Genomic DNA, 17,658 nt, shown 5'->3' on the forward strand with positions numbered 1-17,658 from the left:
CTAAGCTTCTGGTTTTACATATGAGCTTTAATAACAGAAAGAACAAATATTTCTCCCCTTTTGAAAAGTAGGGTACTACAGAGGAAGGAAAAACATGGAGATCAAAGTGTACCCCTTAAGACATCTAATTTACTGGATGATAAGGTGATACTGTGGAAAATCAGCTATAAGTGCTACATATTTGAGTCTTTTTATTCAGAGAATAGGAAAGAAACTCCAAAGTCCAATTCATCTTTGGATTAACGGGATAGAAAGAAAAACTGCAACAAAAGCTGAGTCCTAACCAAAGATCTTTTTAGCTGTGGATTAGGCTCCAAGATCTGTGATTAGAGAATAATAGTTTAATTAAAGCATCTAGAGAAAAGTACATGGAAACAATAGTTCACCCTTAGGCACTACATCCCTCCTACCAGTCTAGTGTCTTATCCAGGTGAAGGTTTATACAATGTGTACTTGTTCTGATCCCTTTCCTCTCCTAATTCTATCTACTCTGCTCTCAAAATTCCATGGCCTACCATTCTGGACGCCCCACAATCTGGCTTCAACCACCAACCTCCCTCATCTGCCACTATTTTCCCATAAGAACCCCATTTCACACTTAATCAACCATATGAATACTCTGAATTTGCCTTAATGTCAGCTTTCCTCCTTTCCTTGAGTCATTCCTTCCAGATAGGACATCCTCTCCCTTCTTGCAACCATTCTTGAAGGCCCAATTTAGAGTCCTCTAAGAAGCTGTTCTTTAGGGTTTAAGTTAGAAGTCAACTCTTCCTTCTCTTCACTTCTAAGCAGTAAGTATGCAGTACTCATAACACTTAATATGCATTAATAGATACTGAAGTTCTTTTTTTCTCTTTCACATGACCAGCCTCAGCCATGAAGTTCTTTTATTCATTAAGCCTCCAAGAGCCAGTTATGTGTCAGCAATGAAGACAGACATGAAATCAGCTTTCATAAAGTTCATGGTCTAGTGAACAAGATAAACTGAGGAAGGTACGAAAAATGGAAGTAGAGAGTTAGAGGCAAGCAAGAGGCTTCCAAGTTCCTTACTGGACTCTTAACTCTTTGGGAGCATGTTCTGTATCTTTGCCACAGATGTTAATAATACTGTATTTATTTGTTAAAGAAAATAATTAATTAATAAAAGAGCAAAAGAACCTAAAGAACAAAAGGATATGCCCTAACAGATATAAAGATTCATGGCCAGGTGCAGTGGCTCACGTCTGTAATCCCAGTACTTTGGGAGGCCAAGGTGGGTGGATCACCTGAGGTCAGGAGTTCAAGACGAGCCTGGCCAACATGATGAAATCGTCTCTACTAAAAATACAAAAAACTAGCTGGGCATGGTGGCTGCTACTCAGGAGGCTGAGGCACGAGAATCGCTTGAACCCAGAAGGTGGAGGTTACGGTGAGCCAAGATCACACTACTGCACTCCAGCCTGGGTGATAGAGTGAGACTCCATCTCCAAAAAAAAAAAAAAAAAAAAAGATATAAAGATTCATTACAGGCCGGTCGTGGTAGCTCACACCTGTAATCCCAGCACTTTGGGAGGTCAAGGTGGGCGGATCACCTGAGGTGGGAGTTTGAGACCAGCCTGGCCAACATGGTGAAACCCCATCTCTACTAAAAATACAACAATTAGCCAGGCGTGGTAACAGACATCTGCAATCCCAGCTACTCAGGAGGCTGAAGCAGGAGAATTGCTCGACTCCAGGAGGTTGCAGTGAGCTGAGATGGTGCCACTACACTCCAGCCTGGGCAACAGAGCAAAACTCTGAAATCAAAAAATAAATAAATAAAGATTCATTACAAAGCTCAAGTAATTACGACCATGGGGTATTAGTAGGAAGAAACAGATTCTGATATTTTTAGAAATTTTTTGTAGGAGCACTACAGATTCCAAAAGAAGCAATAAACTATTTAATATTTGGTACTGGGAGAAATGGCTATTCATGTGGAAAATAAATGAATTTAGATCCCTAATTCACACCAAATAAAAAATTCCAGACATTCAATAACTTAAATGTGAAAGCAAAACTTCAAAACATCTAGAAGAAAATTTAGAACATCTCTATGACCTCAATGTACAACAGTCTTTTTTTTTTTTTTTTTTTTTGAGTTAGAGTCTCACTCTATTGCCTAGGGTGGAGTATAGCAGAGTCATCTTGGCTCACTGTAGCTTCCACCTCCCAGGTTCAAGTGATTCTTATGCCTCAGCCTCCCAAGTAGCTGAGACTATAGGTGCCCACCACCATGCCGGGCTAATTTTTGTATTTTCAGTAGAGATGAGGTTTCACCATGTTGGCCAGGCTGATGTTGAACTCCTGGTCTCAAGTAATCTGCCGCCTCAGCCTCCCAAACTGTTAGGATTATAGGCGTGAGCCACCGCACCTGGCCAGAACACTCTATCTCTCTCTCTCTCTTTTTTTTTTTTTTTTTTTTTTTTTGAGACATAGTCTCGCTCTGTCACTCAGGCTGAAGTACAGTGGCATGATGATCTCGGCACACTGCAACATCCACCTCCTAGGTTCAAGCGATTCTCATGCCTCAGCCTCCTGAGTAGCTGGGATTACAGGCAGGTACCACCACGCCCAGAAAATTTTTTGTATTTTTAGTAGAGACAGGGTTTCACCATGTTGCCCAGGCTGGACTCAAACTCCTGAGCCCACACACCTGTGCTAGGATTACAGGCATAAGCCACCACGCCCAGCCAGAACATTCTTTCTTTAAGACATAAAAACTGACAATCATAAAGGAAAAGACTGATGCCAGGTACTACAATAAAATTAAGAACTTCAATCAATCAAAGGCACCAGAGAGAGTAAAAAGATGTTACACGTTAGAAAAAAAGATATTTATACCAAAAAGCTCACGAAAGATTGGCAACTCCTACAAATTATTAAGAAATAAGCAAATCAGTTGAAAAATCAACAAAAGATATGAAGAGGCAAGTTACAATAGTAAACAAAAATGGCCAATCAACACATGAAAAGATGTTCAACCTTATTATTAATCAAAGAAATGTAAAATGAATCCATAATGATATACTATTTAGTGTTCATCAGATTGGCATAAAGTCTGACAGTACTAAGTATTGGCAACGATGTGGAGTAACAGGTATTCTCAAGGCCAATGGGAGTAAAAATTCATTTTGGAAAATAATTTGAAATTAGCTACTAAAGTTGAATATGCACATATTCTACAACCTAGTATCTCTACTCTCAGACATACAATTTAAAAGCACTTCCTAAACTTTATAAGAGATAAACTCATACAATGGAATACTTCATAGCAGTGAAAATAAAACAGGAACCAATGTACACAAATCTTGGAAACACAATGCAGAGTCAAAAAAGTTTACATACGCTATCATTCCAACAATATATACAAGTATTCCATTCATATGAACAAAATTCACATAAAGTAACATTTTTAAATTGGTCAATCCAACCAAAAATTCTGTTATGTAAGATAGATAGTTTACTTGCATGTGCATCATTATAATTGCAAGAAAATAAATTATTCTTCAATCAACAGATCAAGTATGCCAAAACAAAAACAGAGAGAGCATTACACTGTACTTTATATTGAGAGTAACTGACCTATCATCCTTATAACACACTCAGAATGTATGTTTTTCCTGACTAAACAATGGGTTTGAAGAATTCTACCAAACGATCAGTATCAACGAATATGCCATATGAAGGAAACCACATGTTATCAAGATATAGAACAGGTGCCTTTTCTTTTTTTTTAGAGGATTAACATACCAATGATCATCAGCAATCAGCACCCCAGATAACTGAATATCATGGCTTGAGTTTGGTTTATACTTTCCAACTGTAGTTGTTCCTTCTTTTATCATATATAGCAGCATCTCAGATAGTTGTGGATCTTCATTCAGATTAACAAGGTTTGGTAAATGATTGTCCATTTGAAACATAATTCCTGCTTTCTGGTAGAAGTCAGAAAAAGAAATTAATCTTAATCACAGTATGAAATTGTTAAATTCACCTAAAACAAATGGTCTATATTAAACATTAAAACAATTCTATATGAAGTCTCACTAAATTAAAGGTTATTTATTTATTTTTTTATTTTTATTTTTTTGAGACAGAGTCTCGCTGTGTCACCCAGGCTGGAGTGCAGTGGCACGATCTCGGCTCACTGCAACCTCTGCCTCCTGGGTTCAAACGATTCTCCTGCTTCAGCCTCCCAAGTAGCTGAGACTACAGGCGCATGCCACCACGCCCGGCTAATTTTTGTATTTTTAGTAGAGATAGGGTTTCGTCATGTTGATCAGGCTGGTCTCGAACTCCTGACCTCAGGTGATCCACCCGCCTCAGCCTCCCAAAGTGCTGGAATTACAGGCGTGAGCCACCGTGCCCGGCCATAAAGGTTTTTTAGACTCTCTCCTCCTTCCTTAGAATCTCTCCTTTGTGACCTCCCTACCTTCTTTGTCCTTCACCATCCTCAGTCTACTCATACATCAATCTATCATCACCAAATTGTGTCTTCTTATTGACTGACCGTCTTTAGAATAGATCAGTTTGTTTTGTTGCATCTTCATTGCCTTCACCACAGGCCCCTGTCAACTCACACCAAAACTACTGAAGCAGCCTCTTGATCACCGTCAACAGCTTCTGTTTTCAATCCATCTTATATCCTATGCCAGGTTAATTCTCTCGAAAGGGTGCTCTCAAAATGTAAATTCCCTGGTCACTTTTTAACAGCTTCTCACTTCCTACAGGATAAAACTTAATTTCCTTGGCCTGGAAATCAAGTCCTTCATAAACTAATCATAACATATCTTTCCAATTGTATCTCCTTATGATCTCATATAAACTGCTTCCAGTAAAACTGATCTACGTACCCTTTCTAAAGACAACTCAAACTTTTCTACCTTTACTTTCAGAGAATTTTCTCTTCCAAGAATGTGCTCTTCCTTTTCTCTTCCTATTAAAATCTTACCCAAACTTCAAAGCCCATCTCAAATGCCACCTCTTTTATGAGATTGGATTGGCCATGCGCAAGGAATTTTCCCTTCTTCTCCTGAATTCTTATAGTACTCCCCCACTACCAATCACTTGAAATACTTTTCATTACATTAGGTTCAACCATATGAAACTGCCAGTGTTCAACCATGCTTTACCTACAAAAATGGCAATTGCTTATGGCTCAATCTACTGAAATCACATTGCATTTCAGTCTTCTATTTACGTTTTGTAAATCTCTCTCTGGATCACAAGCTCTCTGAGGGATGAAACTGTGTTTAATCACCTTGGCTTCCCCTGTTCCTGAAAAGCATAGACATTTAATATATATTTGTAGAACCAAAGTAAATATAACAAGATGGTTTATTCATACTTTAACTTTCCAACTAGTTTATGGGCTGGCTCTAAGCAACCAGTCTTGATCTTAACATTTCTTTATATTAATTTTCCTTACGGTATTGCTTTGTACAGAGTCAGTATATAGTAAGTATTTGAAACATTAAATTTACATGCATTGGCATATTGGCAATATTTATTTCTTGGCATATTTCTTTTATTTTCTAATCAGTTTAGAAAGTTGAAATAATACCTGTAACTCTTTTGTTTCTTGAAGTTTTCTTTTTTCAGCTTGTTCAAACTTTTCTTTCCACACTCTTTCCAAAGACAAAGAAAATAACAGAGTTAAAAACATCCAGATGTATAAGATTGAGAGTCAAGAGACAATCAATGAAAATTAGGCAACTACCTAGTAATATTTAAAATATGATAATCTGGGAGTGGGCTGCTCTATTCATAAGGAAGGTCGGAAAAATACTCAGTATCCTCTTGAGGTCCCTGCCATTCCTATGATTCCAGAGCAACACACTTAACATTTAGAGTACTGACTGTACTCTACCTTTGCATTTCTGCCATGTCTCTCTCCTGTTGATGCAGTTTCATTCTTAAGGATGTTATTTCTTGCCGACAGAGCCTGTATCGTTCAGGGTCAATATTCCGACTGTTTCTCTGAGCAGCTTTTAGCTTTGCAATTTCTGCCTTCAATTCTGAAGATTTATACAAAGATGCATTAATAATAACATTTAATATATAACAATTTCCACAGTAAGCATAATCCTCCAATCTTCTATTTCATTTGAAGTTTTAAATACAGTATTACTAAATAAAATAGAATATTGGAGAAATCAGCTCTACTTTATATAACCTATAAATCTTTACTTAGTCTTAACCTGAAATATGCTCCCATATTAATGAACTTTCCCTGTTCATAAGTAGGAAAGCTGTATAATGTACTGACCAAAGTGGAACACTTTTGAGAGGCAAAAGGGTAATTGTTAAAGTGAAAGTTTATTTAAAAAGTAAAGAAATAAAAGAATGGCTATTCACTAGGCAGAACAGCCAAGATCAAAGATTTTTCAAGCTGGAATTCAGAATATTTATTTATTTATTTATTTAGACAGAGTCTCACTGTCTAGAGTGCAGTGGTACGATCTCGGCTCATTGCAACCTCCGCCTCCTGGGCTCAAGCAATTCTCCTGCCTCAGCTTCCCGAGTAGCCAGGATTACAGGTGCCCACCACTGTGTCTGGCTAATTTTTGTATTTTTAGTAGAGACAGGGTTTCCCCATGTTGGCCAGGCTGGTCTCGAACTCCTGACCTTAAGTAGTCCGCCTGCGTTAGCCTCTCAAAGTGCTGGGATTATAGGCATGAGCCACCATGCCCGGCCCAGAATACTTATTTTTAATGAAAACAGTCCCACTTGTGAAACAGAAGGGATCCAAAAGGGAAAGGATGGACCAGGATAGACAAATCAGATTCTTCTCTGGCTCATACATCTGAAGTGTCTATCACCTTCTGCTGCTAAAAAGGGCCAGAGGACAAAGGGGCATGAAAAGATGATAGTTCTACATCAGCAAAGATAAAACTGTACAAATCAAGATTTCTTGCAGGCATTAAAGTCTATCCTAAATTGATGATTACCTAGAGATAAATAGAAAGCAGTATTTAGCATAAATGAAGTTCAGCCTATACTAGAAACTCGAGCTCCAATTGCCTTTGGATCAATGAACTAAGCATGAGCAGAGCTAGTACATAAAACGTCAATGGAAGAGAGGTCATAAGAGAAAAATAGTAAATAGTTTTATTGGCATTTTGCTGCACACGTCTATGACTGTGTAAATTTATTGTTTAATGCTTACTGTTTCCCCCTTACTCACACTCTGTTTTCTATGTTCTTTTCCTAATTGTTTTTCTCCTTATTACTTATTATCTGTCCTTCTACCTATCATCCTCCATCACTATAGGCTGATGACTAGAATCTATTAAAATAGGTATAGAAAAACACCTTTGATGTTCATAAATTACATATTTTAAGACTGCAACTAATATCTGGGACTAAACTGTGGCAAAACAATTTTTAAATTCTGAGAAAATATTCACCTCTAATTAACTTAGCGTTCATATCTTCATTTACTTTAGCAATGTTGACTATTAAACGGGCTTGGTTAGCATATCTAAGTGTGCTTAATGTTTCTTCTATGTTGCTGGCAGCGGGACTAATCGTAGCAATCATTGCAGTTTTTGAATTTCCACCCAGACTTTCTTTTAACAGCCTACAAGAAAAAAAGTCATAAGACTTTGCTTCTACAACAACTTAATAACAGTAATTATCTAGAAAGCACAAAACAAACTAATAGGGTATATAATACAGTATTATTATACTCTACTCAAATACCATTTAAAACTTTTCTGGTATTTGTAACTATTTCTAGATCTCATAAACACTTTTTCTCTCTTACACTTTTTATATTGTTTCAAGAGGCAATAATCTGTGCAGAGATTCTAAAATGTGGTGGATCATCAAGTATTTCATGACTGTGAGCTACCATAGGGAAGGGACTATGTGTCTTGGTCATCTTTGTATTTCCAGTGCTACCACAACCTTTTGAAGCAGGTGCTCAATAAATGTTGAAAATGATGAACATTGAAACAAAAATTCTATATTGTACTAAAAGCAAAATCTTTATTTTAGAGAAAAAGAGTATGAGACTTAAAACATATATTAGTGCAGAATGAATGTCACTATTTTTAACTTTCATAAGACATGAAAAAAATCAGATTTTCCCTTATAGGTTTCAAGGTGGCAATCACATTGTAATAAACCAATTATAAAGACACATTACCCTCAAGTAAAGATGCAGTCCTTATTGTAACTGTATATTAATGCCTATCACAACTGAATATTAAATCCATACAGATGTAATCTGAATGTAACATATTGAAAATTAAATATACATTCACTAATGAAAACATTTATTGAGCACCCATGTATTAGTCACTGTGTAGTAAGCAAACAAAATTATTCAACTTCTCTTTATACAACTAGCAATATGTTTGGTAGTACCATATATGTTCAAACATCAGCCACAAATAATAGTTAAGTACAAGAACAGTTATTTACACTCATATAGTACATATTATGTATTAAGAATTGTACACTAATAATCTAATTCTCACTTACCCCTAAAAGGTATTGATTTTATTCCTATTTTACAGATGAGGAAACGGGCTAGAATATTAAGTAATTTGCCCAAAGTCACAGAGCTTATAAGATGCTGAGCTGAGATTCAAATCCAGGTAGTTTGGCTCTAGAATTCATAATGCTTACCACCTTTCTCCATCCCAAAGTTAATGAAGTCAGTCTATCATTCTTTTCCCCATAGTATTCACTATATTTTATACAATTCTTTATACTTCAAAAGATACTTGCCATGTAAGAACAGATTCACGATAAGGAATAAAAACACTCCTTTGGTTTGCTTGTTCCGAAAGTGCAGATATAACTTTTCCCAAAGTTAGCAAGGACTTATTAATACTCACACCTTCCTGCATGCAAGAAAAAAAAAATTTTTAACTTAAAATACTTCTCAGCAAGAAATTTATTTCACAAAATATATTTCTCCCCTCATATAATTACTGAGTAAATACTTTTTTACTTTCTTTTTTTTTGAGACAGAGTCTCACTCTGTTGCCCAGGCTGGAGTGCAGTGGCATAAACATGGCTCACTGTAGCCTCGACCATCCAGGCTCAAGCAATCCTCCCACCTGAACCAAGTAGCTGGGACTACAGACACATGCCACAATGCCTGTCTATAAATACTTTTTTCTATAAACTACCAACTTTCTTATGACTCAAACGTATTTTCTTTAAAAATTAATCATAACCAAAAAGTACGTATCTCTTTTTCAACCACAGCAATGCAGTCTATAAACTGCAGATAAAGATATATTTGGGGAGGTTAAGTGTATTCAGTTTGTATTCTCCTTAAAATAATGACCTCAGGAATAAATTTCATCAAAAGGAGAAAAAGCATTCCATTTACCTTTAGTCGATCTCCATTAGTGTGAGCCGTAGAGCAGCGCTCACTGCCTGCCAGATCTATTAGGTTAATTCGACTTGTTATTCTGTGATCGTGTTCTTCCCCTTCCACAAATTCTGTCTACAGCAAAATGATATTAAATTAAATTAAGTTCTATTACTTCCAATCAATATAGGTTTTTTTAAAGGGAAAGCTGTAAAAGATTACACATCACTCTTTTATTTTTTAAATAGTCTCTTCTTTTTTTTTGAGACAGGGTCTCACTCTGTTGCCCAGGCTGGAGTACAGTGGCATCATCACGGCTCACTGCAGCCTTGATCTCCTGCGTTCAAGCAATTGTCCCACCTCAGGCTCCCAAGTAGCTGGGACTACAAGCACATGCTGCTACACCTGCTACTTTTTTTTATTTTTTAGTACAGACAAGGTCTCGCTATGTTGCTCAGACTAGTCTCAAACTCCTGAGCTCAAGTGATCCTCCTGCCTCGGCCTCCTAAAGTGCTGGGATTACAGGCGTGAGCCACTGCACCTGGCCTAAGATCATCCCTTCATGAATCTGTGATAATTTATAACACAAAAATATTCACACGGTCTACTGAAAAGAATATATTGAGCAGTGGATAGATTATGCCAAAATTAAATAAATTACTTCAAAGAGATTAAAATCCATAACCACTCAGTTATATTAAGGAAATAACAATAAATAAAGAAAAAGTTTAATGCACAAAGATGTTGCTTATCCCAGCATTATAATAGCAAAACATTTAAAAATAATATAAATGTCCAACAGTAGAGAAAAACTTGAGGAACTGTAATAGTTAATGGAATATTATATAGCTATTAAAAATTATTTTATAAAAATTTTAATAACATAAAATTGTTACAGATTTTAACAGTGTGATTTTAAGTGAATTTAATTGTGATGGTAAAAAAATTGAAAGACTATATACCAAAATGTTTAGAGGGGTTTATCTGAATGGTGGAACCTATGGCTAAATTTTAAAAAATCTTTTACTTTCTGATGTTTTTCTAAATACTCTGCATAATTACTATATATGAAAATATACTATCATATATTGATATGATCATATCAATGTTATCATGATAACAAGCATCTATTATTGATTTAAAAATCTGGTAAACGGTATACTGCCATAAGTCATTTGGTCATTGACCAAAAGTCATTGAAACTAAGGCATATTTCCTACAATCAAATTAAGTTTATATATTTATATGACTGTACTTTTACCTTTTGATTTAAAGAAGACAATAAGAAAAACATGAAACTTAAATGTATTTACTATCTTGCCTGTGGAAAAAAAATACCTTGGTCTGGGTGATCACCAGGGTGAAAACTGAATGAGATCGGGAACTTTTTAAAAAAATACCTTGGTCTGGGTTATCACCAGGGTGAAAACTGAAAGAGATCGGGAACTTTTAAAAAAAATACCTTGGTCTGGGTCATCACCAGGGTGAAAACTGAATGAGATCGGGAACTTTTATCATTCATACCAGTAGCAGCAGTAGCTCTTTGTTTATTTCCCAATTCTAGCCAACTCTTATAAGAAAAAAGGAAGGAAGATCAGATCAGCAGACTGTAACTCAATGATATAAAAATTAAGAGAGACAACATATACACATTTGTAATTCAGATCAGCAGACTGTAACTCAATGATATAAAAATTAAGAGAGATAACATATACACATTTGTAATTAATTTATAAAATGAAATGAGTAAATATTTATCTTTTAATAATTTGTATTCCCATTGCCTTTTTTTCTGTCATAGAAATCTGAGGCAGGAAATAATAACTTTAAAAGGCTGTTTCCATAACTCTAAGCTTACATGAAGGTCAACATTTTTAATAAAGAAGAGCAATTATTTTGATTAAAACTTAACAAAATCGGTTTGTGATAAATTAAGGAAACTAACCTTTTATTTGTAAAACAGCAATTAAGAAAAAATATTCTTATAAATATTTAGGATTATGCTCTTTCTATCTAGTGAAAAGAAAACAAAATCAATCTTACCTGGATATCAGCGTAAGAACTGACAATGTTCCTATTTTTAAGAAGTGAAAAGACAAAATCAATTTTACTGATGATTATACTCTTGTTCTCATAAAACAATAACATTTCAATTACATATTTACGCTGAAGATCACAATGGACTAATTCATGAATATTATTTTATTGATTCTCCCAGAATCTTTTATTTTCCCCATTCTTGAAGGACAGGAAATAAAATAATGCTTTAATTTTAACAAAAAGTATGATTTTTCTTAATACAATGAAGCACCTTAGCATCTTAATATTCAAGTCTAAGTCACAATACCAAAAGATATACTTTAACACATATGTATATGCATAGGTATATTTATATGTGGGTGTATATGGGTCCCAATACAATCCCAGATGTATTAAATGCAGCTGAGTTAATACTTAATAACTTTTCCTTTCCTTTAAGAAAGCATTTGCAGTGTTGGAAAAAAAAGTAAATGACTCCTAGCATGCATCAAACTCTTAACTCTTCTTAGTACCCTCTTCCCTGTCTAGCTTAGAGTCATAGGTATAAAAAGCAGGTTGAGAGGGAAGATTAAATTAATAGTGAAAGGAAGGGGTAAAAGAAAGAAAAAGCAAATATTTACTTCATAGTATAATGAATACTCCATGGCAGACACTTTACAGGTACTATGAAAGACACATGCAAGTATTAAAACAAGTAACTAACACTCTATGGAAAGAGAGGGAAAACCTAATTGGACAATATCAAGGGTAGAAGGCTAAATAAATAGTTACCCAGGGTTTCAAAGTTAGGAAGGCCAATGAGAATACAATAAAGATTATGGGAGAGTAACATTCACTCTATTCATTTGTTTTATCCTCTTTGCCCTTGCTGAGCCAAATACTTACATTGACAGTGCTTCAACATATGGTCCATAAACAGGATGTTCCCTCACTCTCAGCTAGAAGAAGCAAATACATGCATCATTAGGAGTATGACAAATATTTCATGTAACTTGAAATGATCACTTTTTCTACATCTTGAGTTTAAGGTAAGAGATTTGTCTTTATTTTATCCAGGAAAAAAAAAAACCACAAAAACTCTCACAAAAACAAATCTGTAAGGCATTAGGAAACAGCTTCAATATAAAAAACTGTTCATAGTAGCACAATATGCAACAATATATTGTAGCATCAAGTCTTACTAGTTTTTTTATTCTTAAAAAACTGCTATTAGAATTGTCTAATAGACAATAATTAGAACAATATATTTTAGCATCAGATGTCTTACTAGTTTTTTGTTTGTTTGTTTGTCTGTTTTGAGACAGAGTCCTGCTCTGTGGCCCAGGCTGGAGTACAGTGGTGCAATCTTGGCTCAGTGCAACCTCTGCCTCCTGGGTTCAAGCGATTCTCCTACCTCGGCCTTCTGAGTAGCTGAGATTACAAGACAGTGCCACCACACCAGCTAACTTTTGTATTTTCAGTAGAGAAGGAGTTTCACCATGTTGGCTAGGCTGGTCGGGAACTCCTGACCTCAAGTGATCCGCCCACCTCAGCCTCCCAAAGTACTGGGATTGCAGGCGTCAGCCACCGTACCCAGCTTGTCTTCCTAGTTTTTCAGTAAGACATTTGAATGTTAAATCTTGCAGTAGCTATGATTTATATACTTTTAAATGCTCTCTAAAACATATTCGTTAAATTTCAGACATTAAAATTTTTCTTTATTGTTACATTATACATTTTCAACTTTGTGACCAGAAGCTTTAAACATATAGAAATCATAGAAGCAAATGTCAAGTTTTGTTTAAGTTTCTTGATGTTGCCAATAGTAAACTGCACAAACATGGGCAAGTGAAGAAGACAGCTGACTTCCTTTTTTTTCTTGAAATGGAGTCTTGCTCTGTCGCCAGGCTGGAGTGCGGTGGTGAAATCTCGGCTCACTGAAACCTCTGCCCCCGGGTTCAAGCGATTCTCCTGCATCAGCCTCCTGAGTAGCTGGGACTACAGGCACGCGCCACCATGCCAAGCTAATTTTTGTATTTTTAGTAGAGACAGGGTTTCACCATGTTGGCCAGGATGGTCTCCATCTCTTGACCTAGTGATCCACCTGCCTTGACCTCCCAAAGTGCTGTGATTACAGGTGTGAGCCAACACGCCCAGCCGTCTTCTTTAGATTTTTGTTTATTGTGCTCCAAGGTCCATTGCAAAATTAAAAATTTTAAATTTGAATAGCAGTTTTTAAAAAAGATTATATAATTGTGAAACTTTCTATTTCACAGATTATCTACAAGGTATGAATTTGCTAAATAATCCACTGAAATACATATTCTATAATAAAAATATAATTTTAAAAAGTTTTACTATGTTTTGGCTTATAGACTATTAGGGATCTGGTGTTCAACTTACATGGTCCAACTAAATCTCAGAACAAATATTTTATCTTTAGTTTTATACAATTCTTCATTAAAATAAAGAGGTTAAATCTGATAACTAATTTAATTTCTACTAGTGATAATGTTCCGCTTCTTTTCTTTTTTTTTTTTTTGGAGACGAAGTCTCACTCTGTCGCCCAGGCTGGAGTACAGTGGCTTGATCTCGGCTCACTGCAACCTGCCTCCCAGGTTCAAGCAATTCTCCTGCCTCAGCCTCTGGAGAAGCTGGGACTATAGGTGCAATCCGCCACACCCGGCTAATTTTTTGTATTTTAGTAGAGACAGGGTTTCACTGTGTTGTCCAGGCTGGTCTTGAACTCCTGAGCTCTGGCAGTCTGCCCCCCTCAGCCTCCCAAAGTGCTGGGATTACAGGAGTGAGCCACCATGCCCGGCCAGTGCTCTGCTTATTTTCTAAATAATCTAATTGGACTGTAGATCCAAGCATTTGCTTTCATATAATTCTAGTAAAACTTTAAGCTATACCATCCAGAGAACTCAAATAATTAGATACATTTATAAGAACAGAAATTCAAAACAAATAATAAATTGTTTTAATCTTACTGGTTGCTTTCTCTGCCCATTTTCATCTTTACAAACCAGAAGGTCGTGAATTTTTTCATTATATACTTCAAAGAAGCTCATTTCAATGTGATAGCTGACCTAGTAGGAATAGAAACACAGCATATAATTTATTTTGATGTTTTGCAAATCATATCTGTGGTTAGGAACTAGTATCCAAAATATATAAATATATAAAAATATCCTACAACTCAACAACATAAAGACAAACAGCCCAATTTTAAAATGCACAAAGGACTTGAATAGACATTTCTCCAAAGAAGAACGTACAAATGGCAAACAAGCACATGAAAAGATGCTCAACATCATTTCTCAGTAGGGAAATGCAAATCAAAATCACAATGAAAAACAACTTCACACCCACTAGGATGGCAGTAATAATAAGAAGTGAAAACCAACCAGTGTGGGTGAGGATGTGGAGAAACTGGAACCCTCCTCCATTGCTAGTGGATGTAAAATGGTGCGGCCAATGTGGAAAATAGTTGACAGTTCCTTGAAAGGTTAAAAATAGAATTACCGGGCCGGGCACAGTGGCTCACACCTGTAATCCCAGCACTTTGGGAGGCCGAGGTGGGAGGATCATTTGAGGTCAGGAGTTCAAGAACAGCCTGGCCAACATGGTGAAACCACACCTCTACTAAAAATACAAAAATTAGCTGGGCATGGTGCCGGGCGCCTGTAATCCCAGGTACTCGGGAGGCTGAGGCAGGAGAATCGCTTGAACCTGGGAGGTGGAGGTTGCAGTGAGCTGAGATTGTGCTACTGCACTCCAGCCTAGGCGACAGAGTGAGACTCCATCTCAAAAAAGAAAAAGAATCACCATAGAAATTTGGAAATTCCACTCCTATACATCCAAAACAATTGAGAACAGGTATTCAAACAAAAACATGCACCAGTGTTCACAGAAGGACTATTCACAATAGCCAAAAGGTATAAACAACAACCCAAATGTCCATCAACTGATGAATGGATAAACAAAACTGGCAATATCTGTACAATGAAATATTAGTCAACCATTAAAAGGAATGAAGTACTGTATGTGCTACAATGTAGATGAACCTCAACACATTATGCTAAGTGAAAGAAGCCAGACACAAAATACCACATATTGCATGATTCCATTTATATGAAATTTCCAGAACAGGTAAATTCATAGAACAAAAGCAAACTAGTAGTTGCCAGGGATTGGGAAGAAGGGGGAATGGATTGTGACTGCTTAATGGGTAGAGGGTCCCCTTTGATGGCAATGAAAATTTTTTGGCACTAGAAGTAACAGTTGTACATTATAAATGTACTGAATGCCACTGAATTATATACTTTAAAGTGGTTAATTTGATGTTATGTGAATTTGATCTCAATAAAAAAAATTTTGGCTGGGCGCGGTGGCTCACGCCTGTAATCCTAGCACTCTGGGAGGCCAAGGCAGGTGGATTACGAGGTCAGGGGATCGAGACCATCCTGGCTAACACGGTGAAACTAAAATACAAAAATACAAAATACAAAATACAAAAAATTAGCCGGGCGTGGTGGCGGGTATCTGTAGTCCCAGCTACTCAGGAGGCTGAGGCAGAAGAATGGCATGAACCCGGGAGGCAGAGCTTGCAGTGAGCCAAGATCGCGCCACTGCACTCCAGCCTGGGTGACAGAGCGAGACTTCCTCTCAAAAAAAAAAAAAAAAAAAAATTTAATATGAATAACAACAAAAGTCCTTGCATTTCTTCTTAACTTCTGCATAAGGTTCAATTCAATCCAATAAGCATTTCTTAAGTACCTACCTACTGCATGTTTGGCTTTAGGTTATTGTCAGGACATAAAGAAGTATAAGACAAGATTCTTGCTCATGAGGCTAAGATCTCAGAGACATATAACATACCTTCCAATAGATAAAACACAGCAATAGAAAATTAATTAAGAATCAAAATGAGATGACTATAAATATGACTAATCAGAAAAGGGAAAATTTAGGATGGCCAGAGAAAAGGGAAGGAGTAAATAGAATGTGAGGCATGAGAGACAGAGTAGATTGAACCAGAAAGAGGGGGTAGGGCATTCTCGGGCAAGGACAGCAGCATCTGTGCATCACATGTGCTCAGAATAGGAAAGACACCCTGTAGGTTGACATTTGATCTGGTAAGATGGAACCTTAAATCAACAATTCTTCCTGATTGGGAGAGAAAGCAATCATTAGATTAAGTGGGCTGAGCTTCTCCTCCTTTTGACTCTGAAAGATACAGTGTAGAGGCCAAAAACGGGAAACTTTGCTTCCAAACAGCTCTTCTGACAGTTAGGGCATGGTTTCCTTATTAGAGAAATAAATTTCATCCACTGACCCAGAAGTGAGTCAGCAAGCATCTAACAGAATTGGAAGCTTCAAGGGAGTGTCAAAGAGATTTAAGTTCAATTCACCAAATATTTATTGTGCCCTACTAGGTACAAAGCACTCTTCTAGGAGCTGTGGGAAAATATGAGATGAACTGGACATAGTTTTTATCCTGAAAAAACTCAGAAGCTAATTGGAGATGCAATACAGTACATGAGTAATACAAGGCAGAATATAGCTGGTGTCATGAGAGAGAAACAAAACACTTCCAAAGAGACCAGGTATAAGGGAACACCAAGTAATTATAAGGTCATTGACAAATGCTATGAACAGGGATGGGGGCTGTCAGAATTCAATAAACACGTAATAATGCTTATTTTATGTAAAATAGTATTTTATGTTATAGAGGCTCCAGGAGGACTTAGAAATGAAAATGTAGTGTGGGAAACAAATTGGAAAAGGTAGCTGGGGCCACACTGGAGAGGTCCTACTTTTTTCTTCTCCTCTGAGGCTCCTGCCATCATGCTCGCTATACCACCTTCTATTACCCCCATCCACATACTATTATTCTCTACCATCCTGGCTAATTCCAAAGTTGATATAACCACATTTAGTTGGGCTCACTATGTGCCAGGCACTCTTCAAAACCTTTTGTATAGATCAACTCATTTAATGCTCACAACAAACCTATGAGAAAGACATTGTCAATATAATCTCTATTTTCTGTTCTGAAACACAGAAAGACATTAAGTAAATTGTTCAAGATCACATTTCTACTGCAGTGATGAAGCTGAGATTCAAATTCAAATAATGTATCTCCAAAGTCCATGCTCTTTTTTTTTTTCTTTTTTTTGAGACAGAGTCTTGCTCTGTCGCCCAGGCTGGAGTACAGTGGCATGATCTCAGCTCAGTGCAATGTCCGCCTCCAGGGTTCAAGCGATTCTCCTACCTCAGCC

General features: G+C 36.6%; 1 protein-coding gene across 15 annotated transcripts in view; it reads right to left on the reverse strand.

Moving 5' to 3' along the window:
• The window catches only part of KIF14 (kinesin family member 14), a 69,255-nt gene that overhangs the window by 42,969 nt on the left and 8,628 nt on the right, over positions 1-17,658 (reverse strand). For all 15 annotated transcript variants that reach the window (XM_047436198.1, XM_047436190.1, XM_011510232.3 and 12 more), the window contains 10 exons: positions 14,365-14,463; positions 12,281-12,333; positions 11,399-11,429; positions 10,818-10,925; positions 9,374-9,490; positions 8,761-8,876; positions 7,431-7,603; positions 5,891-6,038; positions 5,585-5,648; positions 3,772-3,956 (listed from right to left, as the gene is read on the reverse strand). In XM_047436198.1, the coding sequence (XP_047292154.1) occupies positions 3,772-3,956; positions 5,585-5,648; positions 5,891-6,038; positions 7,431-7,603; positions 8,761-8,876; positions 9,374-9,490; positions 10,818-10,925; positions 11,399-11,429; positions 12,281-12,333; positions 14,365-14,463 (1,094 nt within the window). The remainder of the gene's footprint in view (positions 1-3,771; positions 3,957-5,584; positions 5,649-5,890; positions 6,039-7,430; positions 7,604-8,760; positions 8,877-9,373; positions 9,491-10,817; positions 10,926-11,398; positions 11,430-12,280; positions 12,334-14,364; positions 14,464-17,658) is intronic.

The sequence above is a fragment of the Homo sapiens genome, chromosome 1 (genome assembly GCF_000001405.40).
Source record: "Homo sapiens chromosome 1, GRCh38.p14 Primary Assembly".
NCBI lineage: Eukaryota > Metazoa > Chordata > Mammalia > Primates > Hominidae > Homo > Homo sapiens.